Source organism: Homo sapiens, chromosome 5 (genome assembly GCF_000001405.40).
Source record: "Homo sapiens chromosome 5, GRCh38.p14 Primary Assembly".
NCBI lineage: Eukaryota > Metazoa > Chordata > Mammalia > Primates > Hominidae > Homo > Homo sapiens.
Genome location: NC_000005.10, coordinates 1,345,167 through 1,361,683, shown reverse-complemented (window position 1 = coordinate 1,361,683; position 16,517 = coordinate 1,345,167). Strand labels below are relative to the sequence as shown.

General features: G+C 52.1%; 3 annotated features.

Annotated features, from left to right (window-relative positions):
• Positions 2,317–2,872: an enhancer, noted in NCBI's record as "H3K27ac-H3K4me1 hESC enhancer chr5:1358927-1359482 (GRCh37/hg19 assembly coordinates)". NCBI's record gives its function as "activates a minimal SCP1, AML or CMV promoter by ChIP-STARR-seq in naive and primed H9 embryonic stem cells {active_cell/tissue: H9 hESC(naive and primed)}" and the evidence as "EXISTENCE:reporter gene assay evidence [ECO:0000049][PMID:30033119]".
• Positions 2,873–3,428: an enhancer, noted in NCBI's record as "H3K27ac-H3K4me1 hESC enhancer chr5:1358371-1358926 (GRCh37/hg19 assembly coordinates)". NCBI's record gives its function as "activates a minimal SCP1, AML or CMV promoter by ChIP-STARR-seq in naive and primed H9 embryonic stem cells {active_cell/tissue: H9 hESC(naive and primed)}" and the evidence as "EXISTENCE:reporter gene assay evidence [ECO:0000049][PMID:30033119]".
• Positions 3,429–3,984: an enhancer, noted in NCBI's record as "H3K4me1 hESC enhancer chr5:1357815-1358370 (GRCh37/hg19 assembly coordinates)". NCBI's record gives its function as "activates a minimal SCP1, AML or CMV promoter by ChIP-STARR-seq in naive and primed H9 embryonic stem cells {active_cell/tissue: H9 hESC(naive and primed)}" and the evidence as "EXISTENCE:reporter gene assay evidence [ECO:0000049][PMID:30033119]".

Sequence of the window (16,517 nt, the reverse complement as noted above, 5' to 3'; positions counted from 1 at the left end):
TCAGCTGATTTTATTATTTTTTAGTAGAGACGGGGTATCACCATGTTGGCCAGGCTGGTCTCAAACTCCTGGCCTCAAGTGATCCACCCATCTCGGCCTCCCAAAGTGCTGGGATTACAGGCGTGAGCCACTAGGCTAATCCTGAATGTACATTTTCTACTGTCACAGCAGATATTCCCAGCATCCCCCTCCAACTTCCCACCCCTGAACCCAGCCCCACCATGAGTCCCAGCCTGCAGAAGACCCCACACCAGCCTCAGTCCCAACCCAAGACAGCCTCCAGCCCCTGAGTGTCCCCTCCAGTGTGCCCCCTGGAACCCGCAGACCTGCCCTCCACCCCAGCCCTGTGTCCTCTCCAGCTTTCTCTTCTCTGACAGGGCGACCCACCAGCAGCCACACCCCGAGGCTTTTTTCTTAAAAAACCCCACCCCCCAATGAGCCCACTGCACATCTCATTGATGCTGACAGCTACCTGCATCGTCCACGCCACAGCCCACTCCTCCTGTGGCTTAGCACCTGCATTGGACACCATTAACCACACCCTCCTCCTGCCCTCTGCCCTCAAAACCCCTAGGGCTCCCCAGCTTCTGGTCCCCCAATCCCTGCGTGTGGATGTCTGGGACACTCAGTAGCCTGGGTGCCCCTGGGACCTTGGAGAGTGCAAAGGTAGCTGGGGCTGTGCTCCACCCGGCCAGAAGAGTCAGGGTGTCCCCAGGACCATGAGGGGCCCCTGCAGGGACCCCTTGGCCACCATCTCACCCCATCTGTCCAAAGCTGGTACCTTTGGAAAACTCACACCCCTCATGCTCTGAAGCAGGAGCTGGGTGTTCACTGGAGGGACCCCGCCGGGAATCCTTTGAGTGACCAGGGCCTGAGAAAGGAGGAGCCTCAGGCTGTGATCACCCCGAGAGCCACTGTCAGGGCCCGTGTGGACCAGCAGCCACATGAGGGTGAGACCCCAGAAGAAGGGTCCCTCCATCTGGCCCACTCAGGGCACTGTGCAAAGTGAAAATGTGGAGTGCCTCATTAAAAAGCAGGGGAAAGTGCTGTGCAAGGTAGTAAAATATACAACTTCTTCTTTTTTATCAGAGTCTTGCTCTGTCGCCCAGGCTGGACTGCAATGTCACCATCTCAGCTCACCGCAACTTCTCCCTCCTGGGTTCAAGCGATTCTCCTGCCTCAGCCTCCCAGGTAGCTGGGACTACAGGCATGAGCCACCAAGCCCAGCTAATTTTAGTATTTTTAGTAGAAACGGGGTTTCGCCATGTTGGCCAGGCTGGTCTTGAACTCCTGACCTCAGGTGATCTGCCCGCCTTGGCCTCTCAAAGTGCTGGGATTACAGGCATGAGCCACCGTGCCCGGCCTAGCTTTTTCTTTTTCCACAGTTTCTCAACTTATTTTTTAGTTGCTATTTTATGTCATTCTAAGTAAAGAAATTCTGAAAATTAGAATCATTAGCATGGATCTGCCATTCATATATTGTCTAGTTTTATTTTTTTTACTTTAAATTTTATAAGAAATGAGTTTTAAGAAATGATGAATATAAGATAAATCAAAACCACAGTGAGTTATTAAACCCATTTTCTGTATTCAAACACTAAAATTCCGAAGGTGGAATATCATCCAGTGTGAGACATCATAGCCCGGCCCGTATGTACGCAGCACACAGAGCTGTGCCCGCGCTCATCTGTGAATTGCTCATTTACATGTCACTGATACAAAACCTGCAAGGGAACTTCTCAGTTCTCCTCTTCCCAATACATCGTCACCTATTTTTAAGGAACTTCAGGGATATGAAGAAAATACATTGAAGTGGGCTTCTGCTAAGGGCTCTCCGTGTTTTGCTCTGACGGATTACACACTACATCTTGAGAAAAACTTGCAGCTCATTTCCAGCTAAGACGGCAGAAAACTCTAGATTTTTGCCAATGTGACATTGTCCGGTTTTAAATGCAAAAAAGAAAGCATGGAACTCATCCGGAAGGTGAAATCTCAGTTTCTGTTTCACAGTTCGCACATGCACCTGTCCTCAGGGACCCCCAGAAAGGAGGAGAGGTCCCACAAAACCAGCACAGTGGCTGCTTTTATGCCACCTCCCAGTCACCACGTTCCATCAGCACCGCACCTTCCACAGGACCGCCTGAGGAGGAAGGACGGGGGCCCGGTCGCTGGCGTTTCCTCCCACTGGAAGCTGCTCGGCTTGAAGGGAAGGCGAGGCTGGGGCTGCAGCTCCTCACCCCGTCCTGGCTGCGACCAGCCCTGTGGTCGCCGTGAGCCTTGCTTATGTGCTCTGTTCAGGTTCTGAGCGGCGATGGGCTCGGAGGGCGCCCGTGGCTTGCTCTTGCAGGGGCTCCATGCCCATCCTATCTTGCTTGAAAAACATAAGCTTAGTGATAAAATTGGTAAGAATTTCAAGACGGCGACCCTGGAGCCGTGAACCCGAAGTGACCCTTACCCTCCCCAGGCACAGCGGGGCACCCGGGGGCAGGCAGGGTGGTCCTGGAGGCCATTCTGGGAGGGGCCAGTGCCTCGGCCTTGATGCCCATGCTATCCCCTCTCCACGCGTCCTCACCTATCCCCGAGAGCTGAGCGACCGCCAGGAGCCAGCCTGCACCCCTGCCACAAGGCCTGGCCCTGCTCCTGGCACTGCGGGCTGGAGTTGCCCATGGGGCTGCTCAGTGCACAGCTCCTGCACCACGCGGGCATGGGTCCTCGTCCCCATGGGAGGGCGGTGCTGATGCCCAGTTCATGCCCCGGCCTGTGCAGATGCAGGGCACAGCCCAGCTCCTGCATGGGGTGCTGGGTCCCCTACGTGTGACCCCGTGGTTGGGGGCTTGCAGCCCTTCCTGCCACCTGCTGGCCTCTCCACGGCCACGTGCTTCCTTCCCACTCCCTGGGTGGCACAGGTGTGGCGTGGCCTGTGTCCTCCAATGTCAGGGGGCACATGCACAGCCCCCAAGGGTGGCTCCCAGCCTTGCTCTCCCACCCTCTTCCCCCTCAGGTGGGGCTGGGAGTCTCAGGACAACAACATCTCCTCCCCATGGCCCTCCTCGTCGGCACCACCGGGCCCTTGCACACACTTGCCAGGGTGGGCCGAGCAGGCAGTTCAGTGGGTGGTCCTGAGCCCTGGCCCCAGCCCAGGCATCTGGCAAAACCCTTCCTGGCCTCGGCTCCTCATCTGTGCAGTGGGCATGACCATCGCTCCACCTCGGGCAGTCGTGGGCATGGAACTGAGTTAATCCACCAGCGGGGCTCAGGATGGCACCCACTTAGGTCCATTGGTTTCTTTTACATCATCTGACGCCGTCTCTTGTCAAGCGCTTGGGCCACATCTCTGTGACATGGGGCTTCCTGCCACTGGCATGCACCTAGGAGCACTTCAGGCCCTGTCTGCACCCGCACCCCATGTCCCAGGAGCCCAGGGTCCCCCAGTAGCCTGGTCCGCTTGGCCCACAGGGGAGCTGCCTTGCTCTGGGAGGGCTCTGTGTCCCGCTTTGTAATCGTACATCACAGCTGTCACCATTGCAGTGGTCAAGGGGGCAGTGACAGCAACAGTCAGGCCAGGGGCTGAACTCCGGGCACCCGTCGGCACAGAGCGAGGGGAAGCTGGATGAAGCAGCGGGCGCGGCCGTGGGGAACCGACTTCTTCTGCCAGGAAAAGGGCTATTTCCATAAGCTGCTGGCTGTCAAAAGGCATTTAGCTCCCCCTGTGTTCCAGAGAACATAATCTATTATTTGTTCAAAAGTAGGTTTCCTGAGGTAACTACAAAACCCCCAATATTGATGCTAAGTCACATGGAGAGCTGTGGGAGGCTGGCCTGGCTTTTTGTAAGATAATAGCAGGGCTTGTGTGCTCTCTGCTGAAACCTGCCATCCCATCCATTTCCTCCTGGGAAACTGGGCCATCGATGAGGGTGACAGCCCTGCCAGCCAGCGACATCCTCCTATGCTCAGTGCCCAGGCAGCACGGTCAAAGGATGAAAATATGAGTGCTGGAGAGCCCTCTCCTCCCCGCAGTGCCTGCCACCCATCCCTTCCTCCTTCAGACACTGGCCCCCAGTAAGGACAAGAGCAGCACGATGCCCCTCCCTACAGCCATGCCCAGGTGGGGACCCCGTGGGCGGAGTCCAAGTCCTCCCTCTTCCCGCCTCCCTCCGATCACTTCCGGCCCTCATTACCCCCTTGACCCTCATTCCCATGAAGCTCACAAGGGCAGAGCCTGTGCTGACCCTTGGGGAAGACTCGAAGTGAGATTGGAGGGCTGTGGAGGACAATGGGCTGTGATGGGTGGGACTGTGCCTGCCTCCAAGTTTAAATGTTCAAGTCCTGACCCCCAGGACCTCAGAATGTGACGGTATTTGGAGATGGGGTCTTTACAGAAAGGATTTCAGTTAAATGAGATCAAGAGGGTGGGCCCGTTGTGACTGGTGTCCTTGTAAGAACAGGAGATCAGGAGGCGGACACGCAGAGAGGGGCGACCCGGTGAGGACTCAGGGAGAAGACGGTGTCTGGAAGCCAAGGAGAGGCCTCAGGAGGAAGTAGCCCTGCCACACCTGGATCTGGGACCGCCAGCCTCATGGACTGTACTTTGAGCAATAAATGTCCTGTCTAAGCCCCAGCCTGCGGTCGTCAGAGGCGCTGGAACCAGAGCGACTCCACCTCGAGTGAGGGCTGGAAAACGAGGCTAGGACTTGCTAGGCTCCACTCCCAGAGAGTCGGGCATTCCCAGCCTCTAGACGTTTAGAGATAAAGGAACAAATAAATAATGTTTACTAAACAGACCCAGACTTGGGAGTCCAGATACCCCGATATCCAGAGAACAAAGGCATTCCTAATTTTGCCTTAAAGATAAATGATATTGATTCTTGCAAAATATACTAATTAAGAAAATTAATTCTTTATCATCAACGCTCGTAGCAGAGCACATCTCCCCGTATACACCAGGATTGTACCCCAGGTGGGCGCCTTTCTCCTCTTAGTTTCGGGAATGCCCTGCTCTGTCTGTGGAGCAGCCGTCCTTTCGCCACTTTACTCTCTTAATAAACTCACTTCCACATGGGACTGCGGACTCCCCCTGAATTCTATCTTGTGCGAGATCCAAGAACCCTCTCTTGGGTTCTGGATCAGGACCGCTTTGCTGTAACACGGTGCTGCTCCGTGGCCACGTGAGCCGACGGATGCAGAGACCGACGGCGGGCTCTTCGTTACCCTGGCCCGCCCAGGCTCCCACGGCCCCCAGCCCTTCTGTTCTCGTGCTCTGATGGTGGCGCCGTGTGGCCTGCCCTGCGCGCTAGGCACTGCTCAGCTGCTCTGTGGGTGGGTCGTGGGCACTTGCTGACACTCTACAGGGAGGGGCCTTCCTGGAGTCATGAGACAGGACACTGAGAGCAGCCGCCTTGTCTGGAGACTGAGTCCCGTGTCAGGGACAAGCAGTGACTGCCTCCCTGACCTCTGCTTCCTCCACGCTGGCAACAAAGGCGGGAAGCAGGAGGCCGGCCTGACACCAAGAAGCAGATGGCAGGGGCCATGTTTCATCCCAATGCCCAGGAGCTGTTCCTGCGAATTCTGCTTGTACGTAGGTGATGCCCAAACTGCATTGTCCACACTTCCCCAAGCCTACAAATTCACTTCGTAGGATTTTATTTTTACTGAATGAATCCTACAGGGCTTGTCTCCCAAGTGCTGAGATGAACAGATGGTGGTTGCTGTCATCCCTGGAGCTCACACATCCCCCAAGGGCACCACAGCTCCTGCTGTAAATAAGCCCGTTGTTTTCTTTTTTCTTTTTTTTTTTGAGATGGAGTCTCTCTCTCTCTTGCCCAGGCTGGAGTGCAGTGGCACGATCTCGGCTCACTGCAACTTCCACATTCCAGGTTCAGGCAATTCTCCTGCCTCAGTCTCCTGAGTAGCTGGGATTACAGGCGCCTACCATCACGCCCGGCTAATTTTTTGTATTTTTAGTAGAGACGGGGTTTCACCATGCTGGCCAGGCTGGTCTTGAACTCCTGACCTCAGGTGTTACACCCGCCTTGGCCTCCTAAAGTGCTGGGATTACAGGTATGAGCCACCACACCAAGCCAAGCCTGTTAGTTTTCATGATCCGAGAATTAGAAATGAAAACACTGAGTTACAACATCTCTCCTAACAGGTTGGCAAAACTCCACAAGGTCACCAGCACACCTTGATGGGGAGGCTGCAGGGAAACACACAACCTCATGCTTTGCTGCTGGGATGCAAACAGCACAGCCCCTGCGGGAAGAAGCTCAGAGATGCCCGGAAAGACCTGTGTGCATTCACAACTGCATCCTTCAATTCCACTTCTAAGCAGCTACCTTAAAGTCACAAAATATCAGAAAATGGATGTTCAAGGTCATTCAACGTAACCCTGCTTTTAATACCTACAGACTTTTTTTTTAACCAAAGGATATATCCTGGCAAAATATATTATGTATATATATAACTAAATGGAACCTCTGAGATGAAAAATACCTTTGAAATGAAAAATTCATAATATGAGCTTAGCAGCAGTTTGAAAACTGCAGAAAAATACCAGTGAACTTGAATACAAGCATTAGAAAGTATTCAAACCTAAGCACGGAGACGGGAGAAAAGTTTCAACATAAACAGAACCTCACTGACATTGAAACAGCATCAAGCAGCTCATATACATATAACTGGAGTCCCAAAAGGAAGAGGCAGGCAGAGAAATATTTGAAGAAACCTTCACTGCAACATTTTCAGACTTGAATCTCACAGATTGATAAGCTCAGTAAGCCCCAAGCAGGACAGACAAGGCAAAAGCGCCAGACAAATACACACAAAACACAAAGAAACACAGAAGAACAGCTGCCAATCTGTCATCAGAAGCAATGCAAGTCAGAAGACAGTGGACTGAACGATGTGATTTAACATGACAGAAGAAAAAGTGCCCATCAACCTAGAGAATTAGTGAAAATATCTTTCAAAAAACGAGGGCAAATTAAGGATATTTCCATACAAATGACAATTGGTAGAATCCATTTTCAGTAGATCTGCATAACACAAAATGCTAAAGGAAGTTATTGAGGCTAAAGGGTATATATCAGCTGTATTTCACGTGACAGTGAAATGTATGACAATAAAGAAAGGAATAGAACAGAAATGGAACGTTACTGTTTAAAGTCATTAAAATCCACATGAAGGGTTATAATATCTGGAAGTAGACTAGCTTAAGTTTAAGCTGCAAATTGACAATTGTAGAAAAAAACACTGAACAAGTAAAGCAAAAAGATCTAGCTGAAAAGCCAATAAGAAGACATATTTGAATCCAAAAAAGATAAATTTATAATTCTAAAAGCAGGAAGAAAAAAGAGGAAAAAGAACAAAGAATGAATAGGACAAATAAGAAAACATTGATAATTAAATTTAAATGATGTAACACTCTAATTAAATGGCAGAGATTGTTGATTGAAATACAGAACTAACTCTAAGCCGCCTACAAGAAACCCGTTTTAAATATAAATACACAGATAGGTTAAGGCCAAGCATGGTGGCTCATGCCTGTAATCTCAGCACTTTGGGAGGCTGAGGTGGGAGGATTGCTTGAGTCCAGGAGTTCAAGACCAGCCTGGGAAACAGGGTGGAACTCCATCTCTATAAGAAATACAAATATTGCCTGGGTGTGGTGGTGAACCCCTGTGGTCCCAGCTACTTGGGAGGCTGAGGTGGGAGGATTGCTTGAGCCTGGGAGGGTGACGCTGCAGTGAGCCAAGATGGCACCACTGCACTCCAGTCCAGCCTGGGTGATAGAGCAAAACCCTGTCTCAAAATTTTACTTAAAAAAAAGAAAATAGGCTGGGCGTGGTGGCTCACACCTATAATCCCAGCACTTTGGGAGGCCAAGGCAGGTGGATCACCTGAGGTCAGGAGTTCGAGACCACCCTGGCCAACATGGTGAAAACCTGACTTTACTAAAACTACAAAATTAGCTGGGCATGGTGGCAGGTGCCTATAATCCCAGCTACTCGGGAGGCTGAGGCAGGAGAATCACTTGAACCTAAGAGGCACAGGTTGCAGTGAGAGTTAGATAGTGCCATTGCACTCCAGCCTGGGTGACAAGAGCAAAACTCCATCTCAAAAAAAAATGTGTAGATAGACAGATAGATACATATGTATATTTAAAACACAGGTAGGTTAAAAGTTAAAGGAGAGAAAAGGGCATGCCAGGGAAGCGCTGTCAAAAGAAAGCTGAAGTAGTTATGTTGACACGACACAAAGCAGATGTCAGAACAAAGAACATCACCAGGGATAAACAAAGACAACAGGGTCAAGACATCAAGAGGACACAATGACCCCAAATGAGTATGCTCCTACTAACAGAAATTCAAAACACATACAGCAAAATTCAAAAACTCTTATCACTGAAACATGATTACGTTGGGTGTAGTAAAAATGTTCAACTTTTCTCTTTGAAAGTCACCAGAAGGAGAGTGGTGTTGGCAACAGGGCTGACTAGAACTGTCTGGCGCTCATCCCCTCCTCCCCACAAAGAAGGATCAAGGCAACAAGTTGACAGTGACAATTTGACTGGAGCGTCGAAGGCAGAGTGCTGGACTGCAGCAGAGGCCGGAGACACCCCTGTGGTGCTCGGAAGCCCAGGTGGCGTCTGCTGCCCAGTCTTCCTCACCCACCAGTTTGACCTAGAAGCAAAGAGGGACTTCCAGTGGCAAGGAAAAGGTAAGCAGATCTCCACCAGCTGCCACTGCTACAGCAAATGCTGGCAGTCCTTGCTGCAGGAGAACCCACAGTCCTTGCAAGCCCTGAGCCCAGTTGGGAGCACTGCAGGGAATTCTCACAGCAGTGTTCCCCCGATTAGGAGCAAAAGGTGTGCACCTCCCACCCCACACCCATGCCATGAGCCAAGCTGCTATTGCATCTGGAGGGGCTCTGCCCTGGGGCCAGTAGCACCTGCACCTCTCCAGCACTGGGGCTCCACTTTCATGCCACCAAGCCCACATGGGCAGCTGAACACCACAACCCCAGCTGCATAGAGCTTGGGCCCAGGCTTAGCTGTGACTCTGGTCCTGCACAGCAGGGAAACCCATCCCCACCGCAGCTCTTCCAGCTGTCTGCTCCTCCCACCTGCAGCAAACCCACCCTTGAGCCAAACAGCTGCAGGTCTCCCCACATAGGCCCCACCAGCCTCCAAGCAACTGACAGCAGGAGCTCAGGGCCTGAAAATCAGCCCCACGGCACCCCCACCTGCAGGTACGCCCCTGGCCTGCCCAATGGCTCTGTGCCTCCAATAAGGGCCTAAGAAAAAGTCCCACAGGCTGCCCCTGGCAATATACAAAAATCAGTAGCATTTCTATACACAAACAAAAACCTAGCTGAAAAAGAGATCAAGAAGGCAATCCTATTTCCAATAGCAACAAATAATATAAAATACCTAGGGATAAATTTAACAAAAGAGGTGAAAGACCTCTACAAGGAAAACTACAAAAAACTGACGCAAGAAACTGAAGAGGATATGAACAAATGAGAAGACATCTCATGCTCAAGGATTGGAAGAACTAATATTGTTAAAACGACTGTGCTACCCAAGGTAATCTACACATTTAAGGCAATGCCTATCAAAATACCAATGGCATTCTTTTTAGAAAAAGAAATAATATTAAAATTTGTATGGAACCACAAAAGACCCCAAACAGCCAAAGCCATCCTGAACAAAAAGAACAAAGCTGGAGGCATCACACTCCCAGACTCAAAATACACTACAAAGCTACAGTAACCAAAACAGCATGGAACTGGCATAAAAACAGACACACAGACCAATGGAACAGAACAGAGGGCCCAGAAATTAATCCGCTTTCTACAGCCGACTGATTTCCAACAAAGGTGCTAAGCACACTCACTGTGGAAAGGACAGATTCTTCAATAAATGGTGCTGGGCAGTGGCTTACACCTATTACAGCTACTTGAGAGGTGGGAGGATTGCTTGTGCCCAGGAGTTCAAGACCAGCCTGGGCAACACAGCAAGACCCCGTCTCTACAAAAAGTTTAAAAATTAGCCAAGTGTAGTGGTGTGTGCCTGTAGTTTCAGTTACTTGGGAGGCTGAGGTGGGAGGATTGCCCGAGCTCAGGAGTTTGAGGCTGCAGTGAGCTATGAGCCACTGCCCTCCAGCCTGGATGACGGTGCGAGACCCTGTCTCTAAAAAAAAATTTCTACTCTAGTGCTTACAGCAGACCAATTCATAGTGACTGAAAATGGGGACATCCTACCGCCTATCGACTGCCCATCAGCATCTGGGTGGCTAGCCCAGCTGTGGTGCATTCACACCAAGGAATGCCACTTGGCAATTAAAAGGAACTACTGTTATGTGGAACAATGATGAGTTTCACAAACACTGTGCCAAGTAAAAGAAGCCAGATACAAAAGACTGAGTGATTCCATCCATGTAAATTTCTAGAACAGATGCATCCACAATGACAGAAAACAGTCTGGCTGCAAAGGGGCAAGAAGGAAGTTTTGGTTTTTGTTTGGAGTCAGGGTCTGACTGTCACCCAGGCTGGAGTGCAGTGGTGAGATTGTGGCTTACTGCAGCCTCCACCTCCCAGGCTCAAGCAATCCTCTTACCTCAGCCTCCCAAGTAGCTGGGATCACAGGCATGTACCACCATGCCCAGCTAATTTCTTCTATTTTTGTAGAGATGGGGCATCACTATGTTGCCCAGGCTGGTCTTGAACTCCTGGGCTCAAGTAATCCTCTCGCCTTGACCTCCCAAAGTGCTGGGATTACAGGCATGAGCTACAGCACCTGGCTGTTTTTAAGTAATGGAAATGTTCTATATCTCCGTTGTAACAGGATTTGCATGGGTGAAGACATTTGTCAAAACTCATAGAATTGCACACTTAGAATGGGTTTTCTTTATATAAATTATTCATCAGAAAATTAAAAGGGAAAAAAGGCTAGGGGTAACAACAAAAATACCCTTTTAGATGAATATAAAATAATCCTTAGAGAACCATCGTCTCCTTATCCTTGGCAAGCATCCCCTCAGGGAGAGCTGCTGTTCTCTTTCCACCCCTCTGATGTCAGCCCCAGTTCCTGGGAGCCCAGATCCACAGCGTTGTCAGCCTAAGAGAGAGGTTCTCTAGAAGAATAGATGTTAGCTTGAGAACAGAACATTACAAGGAGAGTACACACGCCATAGTAAACCATATGCCTATTCAGGGAGGTCAAGGAAGACAAAGGTCTTTAAAGGAAAAGCGAGCAGGATCACAGTGGTTTTGAGATAATTCTCCTTGGCTACAAACATCAATAACAAAGGTCATTCCAGTCTGAGGTTGGACAGGCAATTGCTGGGCAGTTGTCCTTGCAGAAATATTTTTTGTGTAAGGGTGTGATGGCCTCTGTGCCGGGCTGTGGTTTTTGTAGTCCTTTCTGGTATCAGGCATGCAAGCATAAGTGTCCTCTCTTCGTGGCCTTCCCCACCAACTCTTTGTCAGGGCTTTCTTAACATTAGTGACTCCATTTTGATTCTGACAACTTTCACAGCATGTATTTAGAGCAGCCGCTAGGTGTTCATCCACAGAGGTGGCCGTGAGCAGTTCCTGGGATCATAACAAGAGTCCATTCTGCTTGGGGCTTACCACAAATGAAGTAAAGACAGGCCCTTGGGGAAAGGTTGGGCAGACTGAGCCCCACATGAGCGGGGCAGGAGATGGGCCCGCGCCCCAACAGAAATGTCAGGTGATCATCAGGTGATGGTCAAGCTGTTGTTAAACTGTCTAAAATAATTATTGGTTGCAGCTGGTGCCAGAGAAAGGCAGGCTCCCAATAGATAGAAAACACCTAAAGCTGATGATGAGCCACTTCCCGATAAGATCCCAGGAGTTGGCACAGGTGGGAATTGAACAATGAGAACACTTGGACACAGTGCGGGCAACATCACACACCAGGGCCTGTCGTGGGGTGGGAAGGATAGCATTAGGAGAAATACCTAATGTAAATGACGAGTTAATGGATGCAGCAAACCAACATGGCACATGCATACCTATGTAACAAACCTGCACGTTGTGTACATGTACCCTAGAACTTAAATTAAAAAATTTAAAAAAAATCTCAGGAGTTGGTGAGTGAGGTCAAGCATGCACACTACGAGGCAAAGTGGCAAAGTTTAACCAGCGTGTGACCTTCCCCTAGGAACTGGTAAGGGAAGACTGCCTCAAGAGGGCACCGCACAACTCCAGTAAGCACACTGTGCACGCGGCCCTCCCAAGTGTCGGCAGGCCACTGCGCATGCGGACAGCCCACCCCAAGGGAAGAATCAGGGGAGAAGGGACGCAGCCCCCAGAAGCATGCCAAGATATAAACCCCAAGTCAAAGGTCAAAACCGTGTACTTGCTCTCTCAAGATGCCCACCTGGCCCTCCTCCAAGTGTACTTTATTTCCTTTCGTTCCTGCTCTAACACTTTTTTAATAAACTTTCACTCTTGCTCTGAAACTTACCTCAGTCTCTGACCCTGCCTTGTGCCCCCTGGATGAATTATTTCCTCTGAGGAGGCAAAAGCTAAGTTGCTGCAGACTTATATGGATTTGCTGCTGCTGACACCAGGAGGTGGCGTTCTGGGCTCCCTGTGGCCCTGGAGAGTAGCAGCCTCCCCTCTTTCTCCAGGAGCCCACCCCCCCCACTAGGAAAGGGCAGCAGGCACTCAGCTCGTTACAGCCCATGCCATCGATACCTGTGTGTGCATGAGCCCCAGTCTCACCCAGGGCCCTAGGAATGAGCCACGGCCTCCCTCTGGCACGAACGGTTAGCCTTTGGGAAACCCTCAACAGATGCCCACATTCAACTGGCAAGATTCTCAAACACCGGCCCACAAGCCAGCACCTGGAGGGCTGCTCATGCACATGGTGGCACTTATCAATAACTTTTCAGTGATGGAAAAATCTTATCAATAACTTTTCGATGATGGAAAGATGTTCTTGGGTGGGCTAGGAAGTCCTGTAAGAGCTGTGTCCTTGCAAGAGGAGAGCCAGCAGCCAGGCACGGTGTGACACCTTGGGCCTAGATGTCCCTGCCCCTGACCTGCTAGAAAGCTGACTGGTCTGCCACAGAACGCTTCTGCTTTGCCTCCAGGAAAAGGCCTTGTTATCTGCGAACTCCCAGAGGCACCCATCGCAGGATACCCAGCTTTGCCTGAGGGCTCTTGTCCCTGCTTTCCTATAAATATCTGCACCTGGGACAGAATTTAATCCAGATCAAAACTCAGTCTGAGACTTGCTTTCCTAGAACTACAACCCCAGGGGCAGGTAGCGTGGGCAGAGACAGAGTCCCACCTCGCCCTGCCGACACAACATCTGTTGAATGAGACCAAATGTGGGTTTGTGGCCCTTCATCCATAAATCCTGCAGATGTGCCAGGCCCGGTGGCTCACGCCTGTAATCCCAGCACTTTGGGAGGCCGAGGCGGGCGGATCACAAGGTCAGGAGATCGAGACCATCCTGGCTAACACGGTGAAACCCCGTCTCTACTAAAAATACAAAAAATTAGCTGGGCGTCGTGGCGGGCGCCTGTGGTCCCAGTTACTCTGGAGGCTGAGGCACGAGAATGGCGTGAACCCAGGAGGCGGAGCTTGCAGCGAGCTGAGATCGCACCACTCCACTCCAGCCTGGGCAACAGAGCGAGACTCTGTCTCAAAAAAAAAAAAAAAAAAAAAAAAATCCTGCAGATGTTAGAATGCGCGGAAGAGAGAGAAACCCAAAGTGTGAATGAATACAGAGAGGCAGGAGATCCAACACCTTCCTCCCCAGGAAAGCCCGGGCACGAGGTCCCCGAGCTGAGCTGAGCCTGGGGGCTGGCTCCAGTCTCAGGACCGCCCACAGCCCTCACAGCAGGGTGTGTCCACATTCAGATGCCCTCCTCTCTCCCTCCATCCCCCTCCCAAGGCTGCATCGGCAGCTGTGGCCTCATAGGGAGAGGTGTGGTTTGGGGGTGATTTCCTATTTCCTTCGTGTCTGACCACTGCCCGAGGGCCTCACAAAGGAACCGAATCTTTTGGAGCCTGCATTTCCTGTCATCCTGAGTGGCCTTTGGAGTCCTCAATGTATAAGGACAGCAAGGGCCAGCTGTTCATGTTAGCTTTCTGGAACATTCCAGGCACTCCATGTACTAACAGGTTCCTTGCCAGAGGGCCCTCAAATGATGGAATTGATAAAAGCATTATAAAATGTTGATAAATTCTCTAACCATAGACGTGGAGCTCAGTGAGTACGAATGCAAGATGTGACTCCCCCAGGCCTAGAAAGAAAGCCTTAGCTTCAGAGACGTGGGTAACCTTGGCTCTCTACGGGAGTGAGGCCAACAAGGCCAGCAGAACAGGGTCAAGCAGCTCCTGTTGCCCAAGCAGCCACAGCCGCCTGGCCTTCACTGCATCCAGCTGTGCAGTGGCAGAGAGGATGCTGCGTGGGGACAGCAGGAGGAGAGGCCTTCAAGACCCAGGCCAGCTAAGCCTGGGGAGATAGAAGCAGCCACCACGCTGGGGGAGTGTGGACGCAGGAGTTTGAGGAGTTCTGCGGGGTGCTGAATGGGGTCCTCCTCTGGCGCTTTCTTGAGGGAGTTCTGCAATGATCCACATTCTTTCCAGGGACTTTCTTTCAAGTGCTGTCATATGCTGCCGCGGCTTGCCGGCAGCCCAGCCTCAGGCGGTCGGAGTCGGAAGGCGACAGATGCAGGGCTCCCTTTCCTCATCGGTTCTCTCAACAGGGCAGGGGGACGGCCATGAGTGGGCAAATGTGTCCAGACCACTGAAGAACCTCTCATCTGCTCAGCTGGAGAGGCCCTTCCTGTCTCTGTGATCTTTCCCAAGATGGCCAATGTCCTGTACCACCGGCCACCCCTTCCGTTGGTCACTGTGGATGACACTAGGGGTGGACACTGACCAAGGAGGCACCAACCTGATTCCAGCTCCTAGAGCTGGCCAGGTGCCTGACAGGAAAATGAGGCATCTGAAGAACACGGAGAGATGGGGGTAGGGTGGTAGGGAGGGAGGGAGATGAAGCCACACCCCAGAGCTCCTGGGTTTGCAGCTCCTTCCCGAGGCCTGGCTAGGTCCCTGCCTCGGTCCCTGCCTCTGGATGCCGTGAGACAATCCACCCTGGAGAGCCTACCAGTCCCCTTATGTTTGACAGCTGGAGTTGGAATTTGCCTCCCGCAGACCACAGGTCTACAGCCTTCATTCACGTGTCGCACAGACTGTGGCAGGACCAGCACCCGCTGCTGGTGTGGGACGCCTGGCCCTGTAGGGGACCCCAAGAGTGGCTGGAGAGCAGGGCGTGATGCCTCTTGGGCCACCCTGCAAAGGGCTCACGAGCCTCCTGAGGAGGATGCATTTGATCAGGGTAACAGGAGTCAGCAGAGGGCTTTCCAAGGACAGGTTTGCCAAGAAGCGAGAACAGACTGAGGGGGGAACGATAGAGGCACTGGGTGTAGTCAGACACCACTGCAATGGTAGCCGAAAACCGCGCCGTGAGAAGACTCTGTGGGGAGGGTAACTAGGTGCATGAGAGTGAGAGGAGCGAAAAAAGCCTCGGATGGCTCCGAAGCTCCTGGCCCAGCTTCCAGGGGTTGGTGGCCCAGGACCGCCCCTGCACGCGGCCTCGGGTGCCTGCTCCAGGCAGACCTGCTTCTCTGGCCCATTCTCGGCACCAATCACTGTCCCATCCGCCCGTCAGCCAAGTCCTCTGAGTTCTTCCCGGAGCCCAGCACCCTGATGCAATTGTCCCTGCTCTGAAAACCCTCAGCAATCTATTGGGTCTTCAGTAGCATCTACTCTTTCTAGAAATGTCGAACAAGGTTTTTCGATTGTGCTGCACGTGTGGCAGACACAGAAACGGAAACGACCTTCCAGAGAACTGGCCAAAGGACGGGAGCTGCTCCAGTAACTGAAGGGCACAGACTGAGCGCTTCTGATGGAGTCGGGGAGGTCGCCGGCCCATCCACCGGCTGCCCGAGGGCCTCCCACTGACCTCCCCCGGCCGCCCTCCGAGGGGCCTCTGCTGACCTCGCCGTGCTGGGCACGCTCGGCTTTAGCGGGAAGCTGGGGGTCAGGTTCAAGGCTGTGAGGAGCCACTTCAGCCCGGGAATCTGAATTTTTTCTTCAAAAGCGCCTGTCCCCACAATGGGTTTGTACTGGGGAAAAAACCCACACACGGGATGAGGTGCCCGGCTTCTGTGAGGGTTCTGAGCACTTCGTTTTTCTTCCCTTTAGATTCTGACAACTGTGGACTAAAAGGGTTGCAGGCCCAGTGCCGGAATTCCAGTATCACCTTCCACCAGGCTCCTCACACGTCGACATGGCCCCCACTTGGTGGTCTGGCAGGCGTCGGCGGTTGGGGACGGCGCCCCGGGGACCCCGCGGCCCTAGCCTTCCCCGGCGCCCCGCGAACGCCCTCCGCGGCCCCAGCAGCTGAGCGCCTGGGTCCCTGAGAGGCACCCCAGGAGGGCGGCGCGGGCGGGTAACGTCACACACGCGCC